This window comes from Homo sapiens, chromosome 18, assembly GCF_000001405.40.
Source record: "Homo sapiens chromosome 18, GRCh38.p14 Primary Assembly".
NCBI lineage: Eukaryota > Metazoa > Chordata > Mammalia > Primates > Hominidae > Homo > Homo sapiens.
Window position 1 is genome coordinate 55,849,987 of NC_000018.10, and position 22,291 is coordinate 55,872,277.

Genomic DNA, 22,291 nt, shown 5'->3' on the forward strand with positions numbered 1-22,291 from the left:
AGTTAATATTTGTCGTGTATATAAAGGTTACACATTTTATACTTACTTACTATACTGATCTTGTGTTCTGTGAACTCTACAGCAGGCATAAGGTTTGCTGCCAAAAAAACCACGTTCTGATGATTGTGTTGTGAGGTCTGACAAGCAGGAGAGATGGAGAAAATGAGCTGCCGTATTTGGGGAAGTAAAGGGGAATTCATGCGTGGGCTGCTGGAAGTTTGTGAAAGTTTAATTTCTTTCTAGGGTTCATGAGGAGCTATTATAGGAATATGAGAAGGGGATATGGCAGGAGGATTTTAACACTCCTGCAAAACAATATGTATGGCTTATTTGAACGAGTGGAGGTAAATGAGGGAGTTGAAGACGGGAATGAGGCAGGCAGTACTATCAGGTCGTTAATGTTCATGTGCCAGGTCCCCTTTCTTTGTCCTCTTCTCCCTGCTGTGCCACGCAACTTCTCCTTGAGACACTTCTGCGTATTTATAACAATTACAACAAGACCAGATCTGTAGTTAGCTGTAGACATTCTAGTATGAATTTCAGCAGAGACAACCTCTGCCAAACATTTTGCCAGTTTAAACCTCATCTCTCACTTTGCAATGAAAGGATTAAATGAGTTAATATATGTACAGCTCTTAGACTAGCACCAGGCACATAGTAAAGGTTGGTCCAAGTCATGACTATTATTTGTGAAAATGTCAGACGTCATTGAGCAGGAGTGGCAGTATACTGGGTCTCCACAAACATTTATGCACTCTTGAAATCAGGCCTCATGGGTAGCCTTCAGCTCCATCTATGCATAAAACTGGTCCTGGCAGTGAACACAGCAAAGAAGCTGTCATCATGGCCCCAGCAGGTGGCTGGAGAATTGACAGAGCAAAGAGGGAGGGAGATCAAATCTGAGGAAGTTTTCTGGGGAAGCTGGCGGCAGGGTGCGGGGGATGATGACAAACTGGATAGAGAGAGAAAAAGGAGAGCAAAACTCTGGAGGAGACCCCGAGGTCCCAGCTTGGAGGGGTGGGCACTCGGCTACTGTGGAGCACCATGTCCAGGTTTGGAAAGGGAAAATGTTTACGTAGGCTCCAGCCAGGGCCCAGCCCAGCAGCCTGCCTGCAGGTTTACAGCTGAACATTCCCATCATGGCACTCTTCTCTGGAGTGGCCAACAGGAGGGAACGGCCAGGGACATTCTCGCCAGCCCAGAGGTTCTGGTGCTGCCCTTGAGTGTTTTCAGATTGGCAAGAGCTGTCTGGTGATTTTCCACTGGCCAAGTCACTCTTCCACGCTCATGGACCTAAAATTTAGCATTTGTCCTGGCTCCAAAACTCCTCTCATTGGCTCTGATAATCCTTTTCAAACAAGCTGAAGACTTAGCACCAAATCCACTTTCAAGTGTGAACAAGGCTTTGAGTAGTTCCAGATCCTAAGCCTGAAGTCTATTGTCTGTTTTTAGTTGATTTTACTTGAGGCACCTAAGTTAGCCTTGACTCAGCCTGAACAGAAAACACTCTTGAGCAAAGGCCCAATGTTATGGAATTCTGCCCTTGGCACTAAAGCTGAAGCCTTAATGGAGGCATTCAGCACGTCCTTAGATGCATTGATTCTGCCATGCGGTGGCCACCTATGCTTCAAGGCCACCCAAGAACATAATGGACAAGGTTTTCTCATGTGTATTATCTGCAGGAAGAATATTTTCTTTAAAAAATCTAATTAATTTTTAAACAAGAAGAGAGCTAGCTGCCTTGAACATTTGATTAAAAATGGTCATTTTAAAGATATTTTAAAAAATTAAGATTAGCCAGTCATGTGATAGATACCAATATTTGTGTCTATGATCCAATATTAGTCTCTATTCGAAGTGGGTGATGCAAAGTTGAATGTTAAGTTTTCCTAAAAGTTTATAAATTCTACCACTTTTTTATTTTTTTGCCTGGAAATGTATATGTTCTAGCTCAATAGTGGAAAAGAGAAAACTGGCCCTATGTGGAACTGACTGAAGTTTAATAAGTTGAGCAGTTTTCTGCCTCCTGGCAATCCTTCACTAGAATGGGAATTTCTTGAAGGTTATATTAGTGAGACATGTTCTGGGTGCAAGTGAAGAAAGTACAATTTCAACTAGCTTGAGCAAAAAGGGGTATTTATTGATTCCACTGGGAGCTGTAAGGGGATGGGCCGTCCCTATACTTTTCTGGCTCAGGGGTGCAAACAATACTTTCAAAATCAGGCTCTCTTATTCTCTCTGTGAAATCTTTTTTCTATATTGAATTTTTCCTAGGCAGTTTCTCTCCACATCTTGGCAAGGAGGGCTACCAGCCTTTTCTGCCTTCTATCACTCCTACTGCTTAATTAAGAGGCTGGGCTAGTTTTGTAGCTAAGGAAATGAGGAGAAATGATGAGACTAGGGAAGCAGGTTTGGGGGTGAGCAGGCAGCTTGAATATCTAGGGGCATAGGTAGAGAATGAGAGGAAGAGATTTGATTCAAGAAAGCCCAATCTGAGCCCTTTCCAGGACTGATACTGAGCTTAGATTTGATTGTCTATTATTAAAACCATTCCCTTCTATCAACGCTCTTAACCCCCTCATCCCTAAGGGGGCTACGCTAGAACATGATCCCAATATTTTGTCAAATGTTTTCTGGGTACATGACCATACCAAATAAAGACTATATTCAAGCTTTCCTGGCAAGTATGTGTGGCCTTGTACGTTCTGGTGTCTGGGATATGAGTGGAACTCCTGCCTATATTTTCTGGGTCATACCGTTAGGGAAGGGGCATGCTTCCTTTCTCTTTTCCCCATTCCACAGGCTGGATATGGACACAGTGATGCCCCATTTTGGGGATGCAGATGAGGGCAAAGTCTCCAGGATGGCCAAACAACAAGAGAGAAGGAGCCTGGGGCCTGGACTCCATGTAGCCCCACAGCAGACGAGAGTCCTGATGACTTCCCAGAGGAGAGCCACCTCCTAGCAGGCATGAGAGAGTGATAAATGTGAAAGAAAAATCATCTTTTGTCTTACTCAAGTCACTGCTACTTTAAGTTTCTAATTCATGCTCTGAGCCTATATCCCAACTAAAACAGTGAATCAAAAAGCTTTCACAGAAACATTTGGGCCAAGCAATCTAGAAAGTGCAACATTGAGAACTGGGCTGAAATCTAAGAGAATTTAGATTATCTCAAATAATTAGTTTTTTGGCATTCAGAAAAAAATAGCTTAAAAATAGAGAATGATAAAAATAATTAATTGCACAGTCTGAGAGAATGGCATTTACAATGCATTATGGAAATCAGTACTTACAACGTTTTTTAGCTGGAAGGAATGTGAAAGTTTACCTGGTATCATTACCTGGCCCAACCACCTAATTTTAGAGCAGGGTTTCTCAGCCTTGACACTATTGATATTTTGGGCTGGATAATTCTTCATTGTTAGGGCCTGCGCTGTGCATTATAAGATGAGTCGCAGCAACCCTGGCCTCCACCCACTAGATGCCAGTATTACCAACCCTCCAATCATGACAGTCAAAAACATCTCAACACACTGCTAAATGTCCCTGGGGTTGTGGGGGATTGGCTCCCAACTGAGAAGCACTGTTTTAGAGATCAGGAAATTGAGATCCAGCCAGCTTAGGAGTCAGATTCCTTCTCTATGCTGCTGTCTTCATGCAAGTTTTGAAAATGCTAGTCTTTTACAATACTGATCTAGAATTTAGGAAAACATTAGAAGGAAAATTCTTTAAAATAAAATTTAAAAGAGTGATAGCAATAGCTGATATTTATGAAAATCAAGTTTGCTTTGACATCGTCTTACTTAACCTTCACTTATAACTCTATGGACCAAGTTTCTCCCATTTTAAGTTGAGGAAATGGAGCATCGTCAAGGTCAAGTAGACTTACACAAGGTCATACAGCAAAGAACCAGTAGAACCTGCATTTAGACCTGGCCTTGAACCCACTCAGCACTTTAATATAAAGTGAATAATAAGCAAAGCATCTTTCCGTGTTGAATCAAATTACCAAGTCAACAAAGGCAAGTTGAATATATATATGTCTGGATAAGTTCAAATTTTCTTTAGCCAATTTATATATTCTCTCATTCAATAAACATTTATTGAATGCTGACTATATGCATAGCACTGAAGGATAATGAAAAGATAAAATAATTTCGATTTATTGCCAGATGCTGATACAAATTTTACATGCATGTATTCTTTGATTCCTTACATATACACTAGGATATTCGTTCTATTATTATGATCATGTTATAGATGAGGACATAGAGTCATCAGGTGTTGATGTAACTTGCTGAAAGTCATGCAGCTGAAAGCAGCATAACAAGGTGTCAGATCCAGGCAGTTTGACTCTGTTAGTTTTCTAGAGTTGCAACAACAAAAGACTACAAACTGGGTGGCTGTCAAGAAGAAATTTGTTGTCTTCCGGTTCTGGAGGCTAGAAGTCCAAAATCAAGGTGTCAGCAGAGACATGCTTCCTCTGAAACTTGCAGAGGAATCCTTTTATACCTCTTCCTAGCTTCTGGTGGTTTCTGGCAATCCTCAACATTCTTTAGCTTGTAGCTGCTTAACTCCAATCTTTTCCTTCATCATCATGTGACATTCTCCTTGTGTCCCTGTGTATTCACATGCTGGTCTTAAAAGAACACTAGTCATATTGGATTGGGGGCCACTTAACTCCAGTCTGACCTCATCTTAACTAATTACATCTGTAACCACCCTATTTCCAAACAGGGTCAAATTCTGAGGTACTGAGGGGTAGGAGTTAGGACTTCCAACACATCTTTTTTGGAAGAGACAATTCAACCCATGACAATTCTTAATTAGCACACCATTGTGCCTGTTTGTAAGTATGATGGAATCCTTGTCCCTAGGGAGCTCACAGAGGCACAGGAAATAAGGCATGTGAACAAATAATCGCAATAATACAAATGCTAGAGTCACTTCATTGGTGTCATAGGAGAGGTAAAAACAATGAGCTGTGGAAGTTTGGAGAAGGTGGAGAGATTTAACTGAGTCTGTGGAAGGAGGTGGTGATGGGTAGACCTTTTCCAGGAGGTGATGGGTAGGCCTTTTCCAAGATTCCGTTTCCAGAGAGTCACAGGAAACTTGAAGGGAGGTTTAAGGACACACAGAACTGCATTCATACAATGCATGGGGCTGGGAAAACTCAGGACTGGTTCCTAAAATAAGGAGCTACCCAATAGTACGTAGAGTCTACACATAATGATAGTAGGAGGTCAGAATATCATAACTTTTCAGGATCAGTACTTCATGACACCAACTAGAGTAGCTTTTTCCTTTAAGGAAGGCAACATATTGCACAAATGGAGTTACCAAAGCCAAGAGATGTTAAATGACCTGCCCTGTTAGCATAACTAGTTAATGAAGGAGAATGGTGAATTGGGGACACATTTTTTTTATCTCTCAATGAATCTGCCTGTTTTTTTCTCTATCATAAAGCTAGAACAATAGATTGGGGAGGCATCATGAGTGATTGAATGCCAGGCTAAGAGTCTAATTTAACTGAGTTACACAATGACAATGTTTGAACATGATGAAGTTGTCATCTCCAAAGACCCATGGGTAGACAAGGTGCTGTATGAAGAATGGGGCCAGGAAGAAAAGGGCAGGAGCTCACAGAGGCTCAGGATGGAGGTAATAGGGGCTCAAATTGCCATCAAGCATTGGGAGTGAACATGAGGAAGTAAAGAGAAGAGTCTTCAGATAGAAAACAGAAACCCTTGAATATTTGAATGTGAGGGTCAGGAGGTCAAGAAGACTTTGAGGTTTGGGGCCCTAGAGATAATGGCAGTGCCACCAACACAGATGGAGAATTCATGGGATTGTAAATGGTGATCAGCCATGCAGATTTGCCTGGACAGAGGCAAGGCAAATCAGAGGTGGAACTTTCAGTGCTAAAAGCCTGAAAGTCCCAGTCAAAAGTCCTGGGGTGAGTTGGTCTCCCTAGAGGAGAAGCTGGTTTTTGCTTTCATTTTATTTTTTATGGGGATAATTAATACTAGATTTAGACTTATAAAATCTAAAAATAGGACAGGAATCTTAATTTTTTTTTTTCAGCTCTAAACTTCTATGAACCTATGAATACAGCTAAGATCACCTTAACTGGCTGCATTTACAAAGTTGAAGAATGGTAGAATCAGCAATGAATGAGTTAGTTTTGGAGGTTAACATACTGGAAGGTTCCTGCCTTTAGTCAATTAATTCTTCAGATCTAAATCTCAGCCTGTGACTCAGGCCTCCCAATGTAAGCCTTACCTGCTCTTCAATTTGCTGTTTATTTCACAATGAGAAGTTTCTGTAAAATCACCATGTTTCTCTTGCTTGGATGTAAAAAGAATTGCAAGGCTTTGACAACACTTTTCCTCCTTTGTTGTGAGCAGATCCTTGATCTAAGAGTTGTTCATATCAAATCTGCCCTGAGGGTTTGTCTGCGGAATGTCTGCTAAATGAGTCACCAGCTCCTTATTCACATTCGGACTAGAAAGGTATGTTGGAAGAGCTCCTGATTTCCCAGGCTTTTCCTGAAACTTAGTTTAGATAGTAAGAAGTAATTTTTCATTGCAGTGCACATGAAATTAAGCATGCAATTGCCATTATTAATGGGTCTTGTGCATCTCATTTCTCCCCCTACACAGTTACATATACACATGCTGGAAGCTGAAGCTGTGTAGGTTGTTCTATGAGAATTATAAAATCTGTAATCTGTCTCTTGGGTTGCATGCACAATTCATTTTTTTATTGAAGGAAAACTGAGCCTTGGTCTCTGACATCTCAAAGGGCTTGCCCAAAAGAATTTCTTTCTGGTGTAAGTATTTGAGTCTTATGTTCTATCTTTTATAATATGACCATGTCACCAAAATATGCTAAAAAATGCCAATAGCACTTTCTTCTGTAATTTTGCATATTCAGCATTGACCACATTCTGTTCATCACCTCAACACATCAGGAATTAATATCCTCTGTTTATTTATAAATTACCATCTTTTCATGACAAAAAAGGTCTTCCATGGTGTTTTAGTTATGTGTCTCAGTGATGTGGGGAGATATCTCTTCTAGGGATGTAACAGTTTTGGTCTTTGATGCCTGAATTTTCCTAGAAAAAAATGTTTTAGCATTTTTTTCTCTTTTAAACTAGGAGTGGGAGTCATTAGTGCTCAGTAAATATTTCTGGTGACCTTGTCTGTTCTCACCTTATCTTTGTTGGCCCAGTTTGGGGCAGTTTACAACTTTAACAGAGGAAATCTGGATTAGTTAGAGTAGGCAAAAGACATGGAATAAAGAATAAAAGAATCAGGAGTTGCTGACTTTTAAAAGCAAGAAGGCACTGAAATTATCTAGCATTAAAAAAAAAAAAGAAGAAAAGAAAAAAATCAATGACCAGGCATGATGGTGCCACCTGTGACTTAGAAAGGGGGCTTACTTATATCCCTTTGAGCACTTTTGTGGGGTTTTCTTGGCAAAATTGATAGTGGATAGAAGCCTACAGGTGAAAGCCATTACTTAAACCATGAACTTCAGCAATTCTTCCAGCTTAATCATCTGGGCAGGCTTAGCTACCAGATCTTTTTGATGGGAGCACATCCACCCCCAGAAGGCCAACACCGTTGCTCAATTAATGTTGCTCACAGCAAAATTCTTTTGTTTTATTTTCTATGTGTCCCAACCTGACAATAAGTATGACTAGCATAGGCTCAGTAAATAGAAAAACGATGGCAAACTGAAGCAGACATTTCTTTCTAACCCAAAGAGACTATAAAAACTCTTGAGATGTTTGGTTGTCACTATTTTTCCTCCTAAAAAAGATTTTTTCCTATGGTCCCAGTTTCTTTTTGTTAAGAATTTAAACTTTGAAATATGCTCGACCGTGGAGTAAAATCCCCTGAACGAGTCTCTCCAGCTGCTATCGATGATTTTGCAGCCATTCAGAGACGTCTCCTCCAGTCTTGAAAAACTGCCTAATTTGGGGTTGGGTCTTACGTGCCACCCCATTTTGTATTTTCAGTGTCACTTTTAACAGGCTTGAAGACCATGACATAGAACCGCAAACTGAGTGCTCAACATAATGCTGGTACTCTCTACGCACATAGTCTTTATCTTTTGTGGCATCAGGTACGTCTGCACAGCTGCCCAAGATGAGCAGGCAAGAGGCTAAACTAAGCGAGAGCTAATCCACCTGTCACACTGTTGCTGCAACTCTTCCAGCGTGTTTACAACACCGTGGTCACTTTGAAAGCCCTCAATACAGAAAGCCATTTGTTTCTTATAAATGCATGTTTAGATGTAGAAGAAAGTAGCACCTCTCTAAAAAAAAATCACCCAGCAGAATACCCTGTGTAGTCCTACCATGTAGGCAGACAGCTGCAGAAAAACAGAATATTTAAAATAAGGTAACAAAACAACAGTGCCCTGGGGACGTTCGCTCCTCCTTAAGTATGTAAAACAAAGCATCTTAAAGGCTTAGTTTTATAGACATAGAGTGTTATTGAATTCCCAAGGACACTGTTCTATGCATCGGATGTGGCATGGGTATATATTTTTTTCTTTGCGAACTTTCTTTATTGAAGGTTTGTGCGACGGTTCAGCGGAAATTATGCGGCATCTTGCCTCAAAGAGAGCTGCATTAATGTGCCAATGCCCTTTATTTAATGCACTTTAAAATTCTGACGCGCCTTTTAAAAAGTATGAGTTGTGTTGGGAAAGTCTAATCACCGTTCTGCATGAACGGAAATGTGCTATTTTTGTAAGGGTAGTGCTGGAGTCGGGTTTTAGCATAAGGGTGTCTCTATAGTACAGATGTCCGGAGACACTGGTTCGTTTTGATGCCCAAATCAACCAGCTAGAAATGTTACTTCTGCCGAAATTAGTCAGAGGAACTTCAGCTAATCATCATTTAAGCAATTTGGGACTGAAAACTCCTAAGACTGGAGGGAATATTTAGAATTAATTCCTCAGAAACTCAATCTTGAGGGCAAACTTTCTTTGCACTCTGAAGCATGCATCTACGCCGCAAGATTATACTGTGTGCTTGTAATGACTTCATACAGATTTTTTAGAAGTCTCTTGGGATACTGTAGTCTTGCTTTGCTAATCGAATCCATTTTCCTTTCGTTTCTATCACGCACCCATCCTTCTCTCTTTGGATCTCTTCTCATTCCAAACAGTGTGTCCTTTTAAAAAGTGTTTCATTAAGGTTGAAGTTCCAAGGACATCACTTTCTCTCTTTGAATAAAATGTGCCTTCTTTTTTGAATGCAAGCTGCCTGTGCCCTGACTGTATAATCAAAACAACGGGAAATACACCCAGTGCACGCAGGCAAAATTGGTGTGTGAGTGAGTCTCTTGGAAATATCTAGTAACAGGTGCAGTCAGATAGGCTGGCAAAACGGTCTGTTTTTATAACAATTACTAATAAGAAAATAAACGTTAGGTATGCATTATTAAAATATCTTGTGATTTTTTTCTACTGAAAAAATAAAAAAATGTAGTTACCAATTCCATAGCATTCAAACCCATAATAAAAAACATCTGACTCCATCTTTCCCAGTTTAAGCACTCCTCTGTTTATTTTAATGAAATTTGCATATAGATGTTTGTTTTTGTAGGAGGAAAATATGTACAGTTTTTACCCAAATCTTTGTAAAATCTGTGTTGTCTATCAAGACAGTAGGAGATTCTTCTATGTGTGGTTTTTGATGACTGTGCGATCATTTATTGCACACACTCTGTATCCTAAAGAAATTTCAATTGTAATAAGCTAGTAGGCATGCATACAGTTTCCCCTTTTCTAATAAAAAGAAAACAATTTGTCAATTTTTTGGAGTTTTAAAGATTTCTATGAATAAGGGTTCTGTACAGTTGTAGGAATGACTCAAATGCACTTTGGGAAGGAAAATTGCTTTGCAATTCTTTGAGTCTTCAAACACAGCCACTGTGTTAGGAACTTCTGATTGCTAATTTGCCTGCACGCAGTCTATATGGAAATCTGATCACTTACTGTTATCCGCTGTATTTGTGCCATTTTGCTTCGAACCTGAAAAGAGAAGGAAAAAGTTTCCTTTTATAACTAAGAGAAGAGCATATTATGTGTTAGAATCTAGGCACTTTTTTTTCTTAAACTTTGGATTTTTACATGTGAATTTAGTGTACCACTTTTGCTGCCATCACAAGCCAAAATGTCAGGTTTTGTCTAAAGAGGGGATAGGTGTGTTATGGAGATTTTTACAAGTTGAAGACAACAGAATTTTGGGGAGGGTGTAGAGTATAAGTACTTGAAATGTATCAGGAGATTGGGGCGGGAAGGAAGGAACAGGGAAAAGCACAGATGCAGGGGGTGAGGAGAAAATCCATATCGTTAAGTGAAAATGGTTAAGAGCCTTACATTCTAATGAATGCCTTGAATTAACAGCACGGAAATGTGAAGATGTATTTGCTGGAATGGAGTTCTAATTTGACACACTCTACAGGATTTCTAGAGATTAAGGTTTAGAAAACTTGAAAACGACATGGGTCCAGATATCATCAATGCTCTAAAATAGGAAAATGACCACAGGTGAGAGGAAACAATCAATTCTGATCCTACTTTGACAGAGAGAGAGAAAAAAAGACCAAACAATTACTTCAATTCTTGCTGTCCATAAAAGCTCTCATCACTCCCTGCATTACTCGCAAATGTTCGCATTCGATTTAAATTCTGAATCACTAGAGCTATGGTGAGCCAGCAGCATTAAGCAGGGGATGGGGAACAAAGTCCCTTTAGGCCAGTCACCTGTTAGGTTTGGGGTAAAACAGAAATTGAAAAATTACTTTCCTCTCAAAACATTAGAGTAGCTCCAAAGCATTGAGGACTAAAACTGTTGCAGAGTCGTGTGTGTGTGTGTGTGTGTGTGTGTGTGTTTGTGTGTGTGTGTGTGAGAGAGAGACCAATGAAACAGAGGACAGAGAGAGGAAAGAGAGGAAAAAGAGTTGTCAACATGAATGAAATTGAAGAAAGATTTCCCTAAAGAATATATATATATATATATATATATATATATATATGTATTCACATATTAAAGAACATATGTGAAACTATATAAATGGAACATAAGTATTTCCAGCCATGGAATTAAAAACACACACATATTGTGTGTATATGTGTATGTGTTTTTTAAAAATTTTTTGTTAGTAGTTTTTTTGGAAGGAAAAAGGAAACAAGTGCCATTTTACCAGCTATATCATCGTATTCACAACCACCAAGCTGAGGTATCCTGACTGAGCCAATTAGCCTCGTTTAGTTCTTCATTACCCCGCATTGCTCGACCTGCTTCTGTGCATAACAGGGTTAATCATAATGAAATGAAATGAAATCATTTGATTTTATTAATTTCGTATATAGTATGTCCTCCAGAATTCTTACCAATGCTAGGACATTAGGGAATACTGCTGTGTGCTAAATTTGCTCCCTCTGCTGGCTGTCTCTGAGGGAATGGCAAAACTACTGGCTCACACATACACAAGAACTATTGTTTGGGAAAACACACACACACACACACACACACACACACCACACCAATTTGTCCTCAGGGAAACAGTACCAGTGCATTGTGAGTTAGCTCTGTGCTCTTCTGACACTGACACCAGTAGCACAACCAGCGCAACATTTTCTTCCCGGAATGCCTTGGCCACTGAAGGAAAATAAAAAGTTGGGAGGGATTGGGAGAGAAGGGGAGGCTGGAGCAGGAGGTGAGGCTTGTTCTGTATCTAAGGCTTAGATAAGAACACTGCCCCTACCTCATCTCGGGAGCTTATTTCATCTTCATTCCTTGCTGATACCTGTCAAGTTCCCAAAGGAGGGTGGGAGAGCTTTATCCTACCAGTCTTTCCCACCATGAAAGCCATTTGATACCAATAAGTGCATCACGTTTGGTTCCATAGGACTAGCTGGACAGGAGACGGGTCATGGAATTAGTTAAAAAGCCAGTGCCCATATTAGAATTCCTAGATTCACGCAATGTAAGGTAGTTTATATAAAATATGTAGAGTTAAAAAGAACAAGAGTTAATTTTCCCAAATGAGTTAGAAAATTTGAAAAGAAATAGGGAAACGCCGTGATGTAGTTTTGAACCATGCATAACATTTCCTGTGAAAGGGCATTCTGTTTAGTAATGAAAGTAGTTAAATAGATGGTGTTCCAAGCATATTTTATTTTATATACCAACCTAGAAATTGGAAAAAATCATGCAACTGTAATAAGATTTCAACAAATGAATAGATCAGATTAACCTAACATAAAATGTGTTTTTTCTTGAAGTTAGGGAAAAACTGCCTTTCTCTCTGAGATACACAAAATTATTTCTTGCCCTTTGTGAAAAGATTGAGTTAAATCGTAGCCACAGACTTGGAACCACCAGGAAATTTTTCAAAAAGAAAAAAAAAGGAAGAAAGAAAGGAAGGTAAGGAAGGATGGAAGAAAAAATGCTATCTATCAATGTAAATTCTTTAATAAAGTTTCTTAATGTACTTGATCATATGACATTAAATTCCACTTTTCCCTCTTAATGACTTTCTTAGAGAAAAAAGAAAGCCACAATCAGAAAAGATAAAGAGAATAAAAGAAATGAGTCTATAAAAATCTGAATAAATGGGAATTTATACGTTATTTAATGTCAATCTGCTCCAATTTTTATGTTTGTTATCTGTACCCGCCTGCATACCTGGGATTGCATTGAATTGTTTTGGTATCGAAATATACTCTCTTGCCTTTGAAATTCATGCAGACCTTACTTGTCCTTCAAAAAGGAAAGCATCCTGTTTTGGTTAATGGGCTTTAAAAAAACAACAACAAAAGTAAATTGTGATAGCAATTAGGCTCCTCAGTGAGCATGCTCAGTGGGTTTCTCCTGGTTGCTAGGCAACCGGCTGAAGGTGTGTGGCAAAAGAGGGCCCCAAATGTGAAAACATAAGCACCTTTGGCATAGGTTTCATCCAGTCTAGAAAGCCATGTGCATTTACTTAATTAATTATGGGATGTCCTTGGGTGGGTTTCCTGCATTCCCTTTCCGCACTTGGGGGGAAAGGTGTGGGGGTAAGGAAGGATTACAGAGTGGAGGATCAAGCAGGATGGGTTCAAGAACCACAGTGAATCCTTCCAGAAACGGCGTCGTATCTAAATTGGGTTGCAGTTTTATAGTGTGTGTGTGACCATTTATCTTTCATTTCGGGAGTCGTAGTTAGCTCTTAACCACCAAGCTCGGGCGGCTCAGTATGTCACGGCACCGTCCTAATCCCACCCTGGATCAGCGTAACAGCGCACATCGGAAATGTAAGCTTCGCAAATAAATCCATTTTCACGTACTCGAGTCGTATAACAGAAAATTTCCAGTTAAACCACATTGTTAAATTAAAGGTTGCAGCCCATATTCAAAAGCCCATCCGCAAGCTCTGGGGTTCTGCTGAAGAGGCACTTACAGTAGTTCAGAGAACGATGCAGTGAAGTAAAAATGAATCAACTTTTAGAAACCACACAAAAAGCTTCGTCTTTGGTGAGTACAGTGCCATCTGCATCAGCACCTCTAAGTAGCAACCCCACCAAACACCTGGTTCGGTCCACAGTGACAGCTCACTGTCTCTCCAGTGGTAACAATTTAGAGGCAGGATGCTAAACAAGATATATACATGATGTCAAATATTGGCTGCACACATCTAAGCCAATCACTTCTAAATAAATTAACCATGGCACTGCCTAATACGATCCACCTGCTTTCTTCCTTGCGTTGTTCCAGACCCTACCTGAACCCCCCTTTGATTAAATGTCAAAAGCTTGCCTTGTGCCTGCAGATTTCACTGAAGGCGGATAACAGAAAGGTTCCTCCTGTGACTCCATAAAACTGAAATAAATTCCACTGGCATCTTGTAAATTTTTATTTTCTACAATGACTGCAGGCCCCATCTGCGGCCCAGCTGTTATTAGAACGGAAAGCGTTGGCCCTTCTGCATTACAAAACAGCATAGAACAGTAATTGCCAGTGGAAGAGATTAAGTGTAGACACTAAAAATGTTTACTCGCAATGAATATGCATAACGATGGGTAGGAAACAGCACTGGAAGATTAAAAAGAGAGAAGGGTTTGTTTACAAGGCTGGGAAAAAAAAAAGAGTGGAATGTCAGTTGGCCCCGAGCCTGAAATAGGAACGAAAAACCTTTGGGCAAGGCATTAGGGAGAAAAACAGATGGTTTGTGAACCTTTTATTAGATAGAAAAATCATTAATCAAGCCCAGGCTGGAAATGGCAGGGTTTTTGGTAGTTCATATTTTAGTTTATTTTTTCTTAAAGTGACAGTATACTTTTTTTTTTTTTTTTTTGGTCTTTTTGGGACAGTCATCTATGGATAATCTGTCAATAGGCACTGCATTTGTATGACATTCCACATTAAAGCCAGCTTCATTTTAAGGTAGTGTTAGTACTCATTTGTTCTACTGAGAAAATTCCTCCAAAGGGTTTCACATTTCGGCACCTGTTTTGCCCATATAGCAATTTAAAAAAAATTGCAGCATGAAATATTTTTTTTTCATTCATGTGCCATTCCTTTGCTTTGGGAACTTGGAGAAGAAAATGGAGAAGAGGAAACTTTTACATGTAAGGCTTTGCTCACTAGATTGATTCATAGCACTTCAAGAAAAATATGTAGTAACAATAATTACAAATAGATTCATCTCCTGAGAGGGAATCTATGCCATTTCATTGGAAAGAGTCATCAAGAGGTTGGAAGGGACCCATTTGAAACTATACTTCTTATAAAACTAATCTGTGCCCTTTGGACTCGAAGATGTTGAACTTTACATTTTTGTTAATAATGGTAGTGAAAATCTCAGGGAAAAGTATATCCTAGAGATTCATAAAATCCTGAAATTAATCATGCAAAGCCCCTTATTTGCTATTAGCCAGTCAACAAACCCCAGGAAAGAATGCCAGGGGCATTATTATTTAAATTAAATGCAAGTAACACTTTTATATCCACAGCGTGTATGTATACCTAAACATATACATTTATATGAACATACCTATACACACACGTGTGTGTGACTGTGTGTCTCTAAGTGTGTGTATGTGTGAGCTACTGACTTCAGGAGTGAGACAGCAGGGTGGAGGAATATCAGAATAAAATTGCCTACAGCCAGACTCAGGGTTAATCTTGATATGCAATCCTAAGGTTTTGCCGTGATTTGCCACGTGCTTGAAGCTGGTAACTCATTTCTACTTTGGGAAGCTACTCTCGATCTTAACGTGAAATGTTCATTTTCCTGCTTACTTTATTTAGTATTGGGATGGAAAATTGACCTCACCTGGGTTGTGACTCCTGGAGCTAAGCATTGTTGATATAGGACTTCCATGATTATGAAGTGGGGTGACTTCTTTTTAAGGAATTACAAAGTACTTGGAAAGAATCTCTTTCATGTTTTTACTCTTTCAGTCAGAAATATTTTTAAAATAACTTTATTCAATAGTAAATATCACCAATAATGCCAGTTATTCTTTGACAAAAAATGCTCCTAGATAATACATTGGTTTCCTTTTCTTATTTCTCATGACAGCAACTGTGGAAGTCAAGGCCAGAAATCACTCACTATATCATCTGATATTCCTCTGATCGTTATACCTATTCTCAGTGTTAAGGAAATGAGACCAGTTGAAACGTCCACATTAAAATAAGAAGAAGGAGAGAAGGTTTTCTAATTGCAGGTCTCTGTTCTGATCCCATTACCATCTCCCTCTGATTATCATTCTCCTGAAAATCTTAGCTTCATTCATACCCCTTCCCTTCCCTTAGTTTCCTTTATGAACTTATTTATCTTCATGCAATTTGCCTGCAGTTAATGTCATCGTTAAATAAAGAATGCCATAAAGGAACGAGATCAGCAGTGACCTTCTGCACAGTTTCCAAAGCCTCGCCAACCTACCTCCGTGTCCTGGTCTGACTTATGGCAGAAACAGAAGTTCAAAGACCTGGCTGATATGCTCCGTTAAAAACCCTTCCACAACGCAGTTAACATTTTCTGTTTTCTGACTTTCTTTTTCTAAAGAGATGCTTAAAGCAAAAAAGGTTTCCTGCCACAAAAATGACATTAATATTTCGTAAATCAAGAACTAAGATAATGTTTTGGCTGCTACAGAGACGTTTACCTTATGTCGTTTATCTAAATGCTTTTCGATTAAAACATGACACAATTTTTGGACTGTTTTTTACCGGAAAAAACAATTCCAAGAACTTTCTTATTTCAGAGCCTAAAATTCTTTAGTATATTCCTCATCAGAATTCACTGTGGAGTATACAGCCTTTTAGCTCATTCAGAAAGTCTTCCCAAAAAACAAGCCTTTGCCAAAGATCATTTGAGTGCACTAAATCAAATAATCAACTAAAAGTCAAGAAGAAACCTTCAAATGAAAACCATATAAATATGTTTGTAAACTTTCAAGTAACTGCAATGTCAACAATTGTATTCCCCAAGATACAATTCTTTTCTATATTGACCTATTAAAAAACTCGATTCGTTCAAAGAACAGATTTTTTTGTTTGTTTTAAAAAGAACAACAACAACAAAAGAAACCAAAACTTTAGAAATCAAAGAAGCCCTCTTGAGTGAGCATCTGCTGAAGGAGGTATTAAAATCACAAAAGTGGTTATGGATTTCAAACTTTTTTGCAAATTTGAAAAATATAGGGAGGAATAAAGTGTTAGAGGTGATGCTGATTTCCTAGTATCATATACAAATCTGTATAGTACTTTTTTTCCCACAAAGTTGCTTATAATCAAACATTTTATCTCCAACCCTGTATTATCTCATTTTATTTATGGTTAATACCTTTTTCTTTTTCTTTTAGAACCGTAAGGGTTCTACCAATTGATTTTGACTTTGGGAAGGAAAATACATTTATGAAGCAACAATTTCAAAACATCGAGGGGAATAACAGTTACCAAAAGGTAGCATTAAGATTCTGCCATAAACAATTCCACAGCAAACAGAAGACTAAAATTCAGGCCAAGCTGCTTCTCTGGAGAATAGTGAAGAACAATTTCTTTTCCGACTGTGTATACCACAGAAGAACGGCCCACATAGTTCCCAAGTCCTGGACTAATAACTCTGAAATGAGCTTTCATCCGCAGATGAGCCTCCTCAAAGGTTGCGAGAGGCTGATGCTGGCTGAGGCTGGAGGAACAGGGCAGGAGGACAGGGTCTCGCAGCGAGTACACAATGGTCTGTGTAAGGAAGAGTAGCTAGGATTGCTAACCTTGTGTGTATTATGGCACATCATTAATAACAATGATCAAAAGAAAGAGGATGTCTTAACAGCTGCATTAAATTATTAGGGATACTGGCATTTTAAAATGATTTCAGGGTGAGACAATAACAAAAAAGCAGCTACATATAGAATGGGTCACGTTATAAGGCCAGAGAGTAATTCTCAAAGGTAAAGCACTTGTGATCAAACAGAGATTCTTTTTTTCTTTCATTTATTTTTCCTTGCATTTACCGAATTTGTTGAAAGATATTCCTCACCATACCACCTGATTGAAGGAAGCTGCTTCAACAGCACTGTGTTCTCTGGAAGATATGGGAAATATGTAATACAAATAAAAAGTACATATGTTTATAAGAACAAATGAAAGACTGCAACAGCCTATAATTCCATTCTAACAGTAATTAAATATTATAAACTCCAGTTTTGAAATGAAAGTTGTTATCATAGACACAAAGGATTTTGAAACAATTGGACTTGGACATAAATATTTTGTATTAGTAAAAAACAAAGCACAAATTAGAAGCACACATTTTTTATTCTATCCTTAATGGAAAAAAGGGAAAAGATGAAAAATAATTTGAGTTGTGTAGCATTGAAATATTTGATTTTCAAGATGTTTTATATGTATTCTCTTTCTCTTTTTTAATTGGGTTTAAAAAGTCATGATTAAGTGATTTTACTGAAGTTATAAAATTGATGTTTTATAAAGTATCAGAGTATCTGATGAAAAGGTAAAAAACCAGTCAGTGATGGGGATGCTTGCATCTGTAAACCAGATATCTGAATGTTTTCTTTGCTGTATGAAACTTTTGGTCCCTGGTGTAGATATAACCTGGATTTCTTTATTCACTACTAAGAAGCTATGAAAAGTTTCTTGCTCAAAACTTTAGAATGGAGGACAAGGGCTTCATAACTGGTTACTAGTACAAACTCAAGAAAGAAATCCTTCATGAAACACTTTCAACTCATACCTTACACAGAAAGAGCATTATAAGGATAAGTTCAATTTTTCCTCTTAAAGTCAGGTATTTTGGGGTTTCTTTTGATCCTTGATACAGACTTAAAATGGACATCTGTGTCCATGATGATAAAAGGGAAGTAATACTTTCAATTTGGATAACCTTGATTTTGTGATTGTTTTGGGAGAAGTGCCTTATCTGGGTCTATTTTGGCAACAGTTGTATCCATTTTGGAGGTACCTCTGTTGGATGACTTTGTTGAGTGCTATCTCCCAGTTTTTACTATAGATGTTAGAAATGAGCCTCTGGACAATTAAAGGGAAATCCTTCCCATTAACGTTGCTGACAGCCAGCTGCCATCATAGTCTTTGTAACTTCTGGCCATCACAGTATTATTTGTGGGACAGGAAAAGAGCCACTGGCACAAACGAACTTAAGAAACCATCCCTACACTGCCTCCTGTGTTCCCTGATTTTTGTAGTCCCTCAACTCCTGCACATGTTTTAACATACCAGACCTACATAACTGCAATGAGCTCAATTATCCTGCATTTTCATGGGTTTGTTAGTTTTACTTTGCAAGTGTGCCTGGGCAGAGTTTTAATAAACATTTCATTCTTCATCAGTATTTTCTAGTCCTGGTAACATAATAAAAATTATCAGTGGGTTTATATTTTAGAAAATATTCAGATGAAAGGAACTCTGACCAACTGTGTGAAAATCTAGGAGTGGAATCAGACTCCTGCATTTTAATAAAGCCCTACTGGTCATTCCAATGCACAGCCAGATTGGAACACTACCACCTTATGTTGTCATATGAACCAGAATGTATACACAGTCTTAAAATATGGGCGGGCTGAATGTTTTGGTGCCCTGACTCACCAATTCAGCATGGAACATTTATGCAGTGAATGGTATACCACTAGTCTGAAAGAATTAATACACTTCAAGGAGTGCTCAGTTTATACTCTGAGCCTAACTTAAAGACCCAATAACTTCAAGCTCCTGGAACAAGGGCATAGTTGTCAGAATATACATGAATATTTAACAGATATAGTGGGAATATCCAAAATGACTTTGCAATATGTCCAAACAGCTTTGCCCTGTTGATTCCATTTGCTGTTTTTTGGCTGTAGTTTGAAGACTTAGCAGGTGCTTTCTACACCTCACTTTCCTCATCACGACTAGAGCTGTAGTCTCTGAGGAATTATTTGAATTCAGAGAACTGCTGGGGCTGCAGAATGAACAGCCATGTAGCCCTTTAAAAATACTATGTGCACCTACAGGTCAAAATGTCTTTAATTCACATTCTGCAAGAGGCTGCATTTTCATTCCAAGAACGACTTTTAATTTTTTAAAAGTATGTTTTCAGAATGGAAAAAATGTGGACAGATAAGGTCTTCTGGGGGAGCTGATCATCCCTGGGAATGACTTGGAATGAGTTTTCCTGATGAGTTATGGGAGCATGAACACATATCCTGTTTTCCTTCTCAATTCAGAAAGATTTTCACATAGATCCCTGTTTGCTCCAACTCATTCATTCTGTTTGCAGTCCTTTTGCTAAGACATCTGAAAGGAAGCATTGGCTTAAAGGTTCCGTCCCAGGTGGGATGAGGATTTCTGGAAGGACAATTCTTGTTGAATGTTATAATTGTCTGCATTTCATTTTTCCTTTCTAAGGAATTTCAAAATAAGTGATCCATTCTTCAAGTCCCAGATGTTGTTGTAAACCAGAATTTTGGAACATTTGAATTAAAATTCAATCCCCCAAAGTTCTGCTGAGTCCCAGCTCTCAAACCAAACACTGACAAAAATGTATTTGTGCAATGGTTCACATGACTTCCTCAGTGCACCGCGTCCTGGGCTGTGTGACTCAGTCCCAAATGAACTGACACACCATACTGTAAATTTTATAACAACCAAACTCCAGGACACTAGAAATGACTCCTTGGTTCATAGTTTTTGAAAGACTAAAGTTCTGGAAACATCCTTGAATATTGATTTTTTATGACTCTTAAGCTATGTTGTTTTCCTAACAAAACTCTCAAAAAAAAAAAAAAAAAAACCCTAAAATGTTCAAGTCGGTTAAAAAGTTTCCTGCATAGCATTGGCAGCCGTTTCAGTAAGACTAGTGAAGAACACGTGTCTTAGGGGATGGGGATTAGTCATTATTATCTTGTCCAAATTTAAGCAGATTATTTTGGGAAATGTAAATATCCATGATTTAAAAGCAGTTGAGAGACAGGCCAATATATTTAGCAAAAAATGTTTTCAAAGTTTCATATGAATCTCCGATGTTAGATTTTCGCGGATACAAATCTCAGTTTTCCATTCCCCCTTCTGCCCGCCATTCATTCACCTGTGTTTGTATAATGGAAACCAGTTATACAGCTCTGGTTACACATCTGTTTCATGCATGTGCAATTACAAGCCGTTTTAGCAACTAGTAAAACTACAGGTGTCTGGGTTTTAATGTAACCGTTTAAAAAGAGCAGTTCATGGGCCTCTGATTATTATTTTTTATAGCTGGCAATGTTCCTAAAGTAGACTGCCAGCTCAAGGGTTAAACATAACTCTGTTTCTCTCCCATCTGGTGGAATCTCTGAAACCCATTTGTAAATTAATTTTTGAAACTTTGAATCCATACTGCTGCATACAGTTATTGTATTCTGCACAGACAGCTTGTACTGCTGCTTTACATGGCTCCAACAACAAACAATTAACTGGATTTTGAGTGGTGGATGCTAAAGTCATTAAGTACGTGTATCTATTTGGCTTGCTAACTCCTATACCATAACAGAGACCACAGTTACCATCAAATCACTTTGATAAATAATGTTGTCATGTAGTTTCATAACAGCTGTAGAATGTCGATCAGTGCCTTCTTAATCAGAAGTTCAGTTCTGTATAAATGAAAAATTTCACTTGGAGATCTCTCTTATTTTTTTTTATTTTTTTTATTTTTTGAGACTGAGTTTCGCTCCTGTCAAAACTCAGGCTGGAGTGCAATGATGCGATCTTGGCTCACCGCAACTTCCGCCTCCTGGGTTCAAATGATTTTCCTGCATCAGTCTCCCGAATAGCTGGGATTACAGGCACCCACCACCATGCCTGGATAATTTTGGTATTTTTAGTTGAGATGGGGTTTCACTATGTTGGCCATGCTGGTCTTAAACTCCTGACCTCAGGTGACCCGCCTGCCTCGGCCTCCCAAAGTGCTGGGATTACAGGCGTGAGCTACTGCTGCGCCAGACCAGATTTCTCCATTTTTAACCTCTCTCCATTTAAGAGCAGATGGAAGATGAAAGAGTTCTAAGAACTATTTTAACAACTACTGAAATTCATTATTTGCCAATAAAATAGTCCAAGAATAAATTCGTCTGCTCTTAGAAGAGAAAGATAGGTATGTAAAAATATAAGTGGAGAGAATTGATTTACAGATTAATTTCATTAGACTAAAATTAAGATTTCAAATTTTTAAAAAATGCTGTCCAGCACTCCCAAACTCAACACACATGGTAGCAGGTACAAGTCAAAATCAATTACAAATTTGAGTTTGCTGCACTGTAGTAAAGATAAGTTGAGCTGCTATATTTAAGGCTCTGGTGACATTTCCATTATGAATATAAGCATCACTTTTCAGGGATTTATTGCTCAGCCATAACAATTTTTAGGCACGATCAGTTATGAAATTGTAGGACTTGGCTTTCAGACCAGATATTTTTATTTACTTCTTTTGAATTAAGGAAGAGTTTAAAGGATGGAGAGAGTAGAAGCATGGTTACCAGAGGCTGCGAAGGATAGTGGGGGGCTGGGAGGAAGGTGGAGATGGTTAATGGATACAAAAAATTAGCTAGAATGAGTAAGACCTACTATATGATAGCACAATAGGGTGACTATAGTCAATAATAACTGAATTGTACATTTAAAAAAACTTAAAGAGTGTAATTGGATTGTTTGTAACTGAAAGGATAAATGGCTAAGGGGATGGATACCCCATTCTCCATGATATGCTTATTTCATATTGC

The 22,291-nt window shown here is 38.5% G+C and overlaps 2 long non-coding RNA genes across 3 annotated transcripts, besides 2 other annotated features; one reads left to right on the top strand and one right to left on the bottom strand.

Moving 5' to 3' along the window:
* Positions 585-1,085: an enhancer, noted in NCBI's record as "H3K4me1 hESC enhancer chr18:53517802-53518302 (GRCh37/hg19 assembly coordinates)". NCBI's record gives its function as "activates a minimal SCP1, AML or CMV promoter by ChIP-STARR-seq in naive H9 embryonic stem cells {active_cell/tissue: H9 hESC(naive)}" and the evidence as "EXISTENCE:reporter gene assay evidence [ECO:0000049][PMID:30033119]".
* On the bottom strand, positions 2,887-10,903 carry LOC107985183 (uncharacterized). Its single transcript, XR_001753452.2, has 3 exons — positions 10,644-10,903; positions 10,022-10,057; positions 2,887-2,961 (listed from the first exon to the last, which is right to left on the bottom strand). It is a non-coding gene; the product is annotated as an uncharacterized LOC107985183 (long non-coding RNA).
* Positions 8,102-8,601: an enhancer, noted in NCBI's record as "H3K27ac hESC enhancer chr18:53525319-53525818 (GRCh37/hg19 assembly coordinates)". NCBI's record gives its function as "activates a minimal SCP1, AML or CMV promoter by ChIP-STARR-seq in naive H9 embryonic stem cells {active_cell/tissue: H9 hESC(naive)}" and the evidence as "EXISTENCE:reporter gene assay evidence [ECO:0000049][PMID:30033119]".
* Positions 10,904-12,999: 2,096 nt separating the features above from the next.
* Positions 13,000-17,666, top strand: LOC105372131 (uncharacterized). 2 transcript variants are annotated; one of them, XR_002958213.2, is made up of 3 exons: positions 13,000-13,327; positions 15,598-15,745; positions 15,877-17,666. It is a non-coding gene; the product is annotated as an uncharacterized LOC105372131 (long non-coding RNA). The 2 variants fall into 2 exon arrangements; XR_935495.4 differs by lacking the exon at positions 13,000-13,327 and adding an exon at positions 13,366-13,547.
* The last annotated feature ends 4,625 nt before the right edge of the window (positions 17,667-22,291 follow it).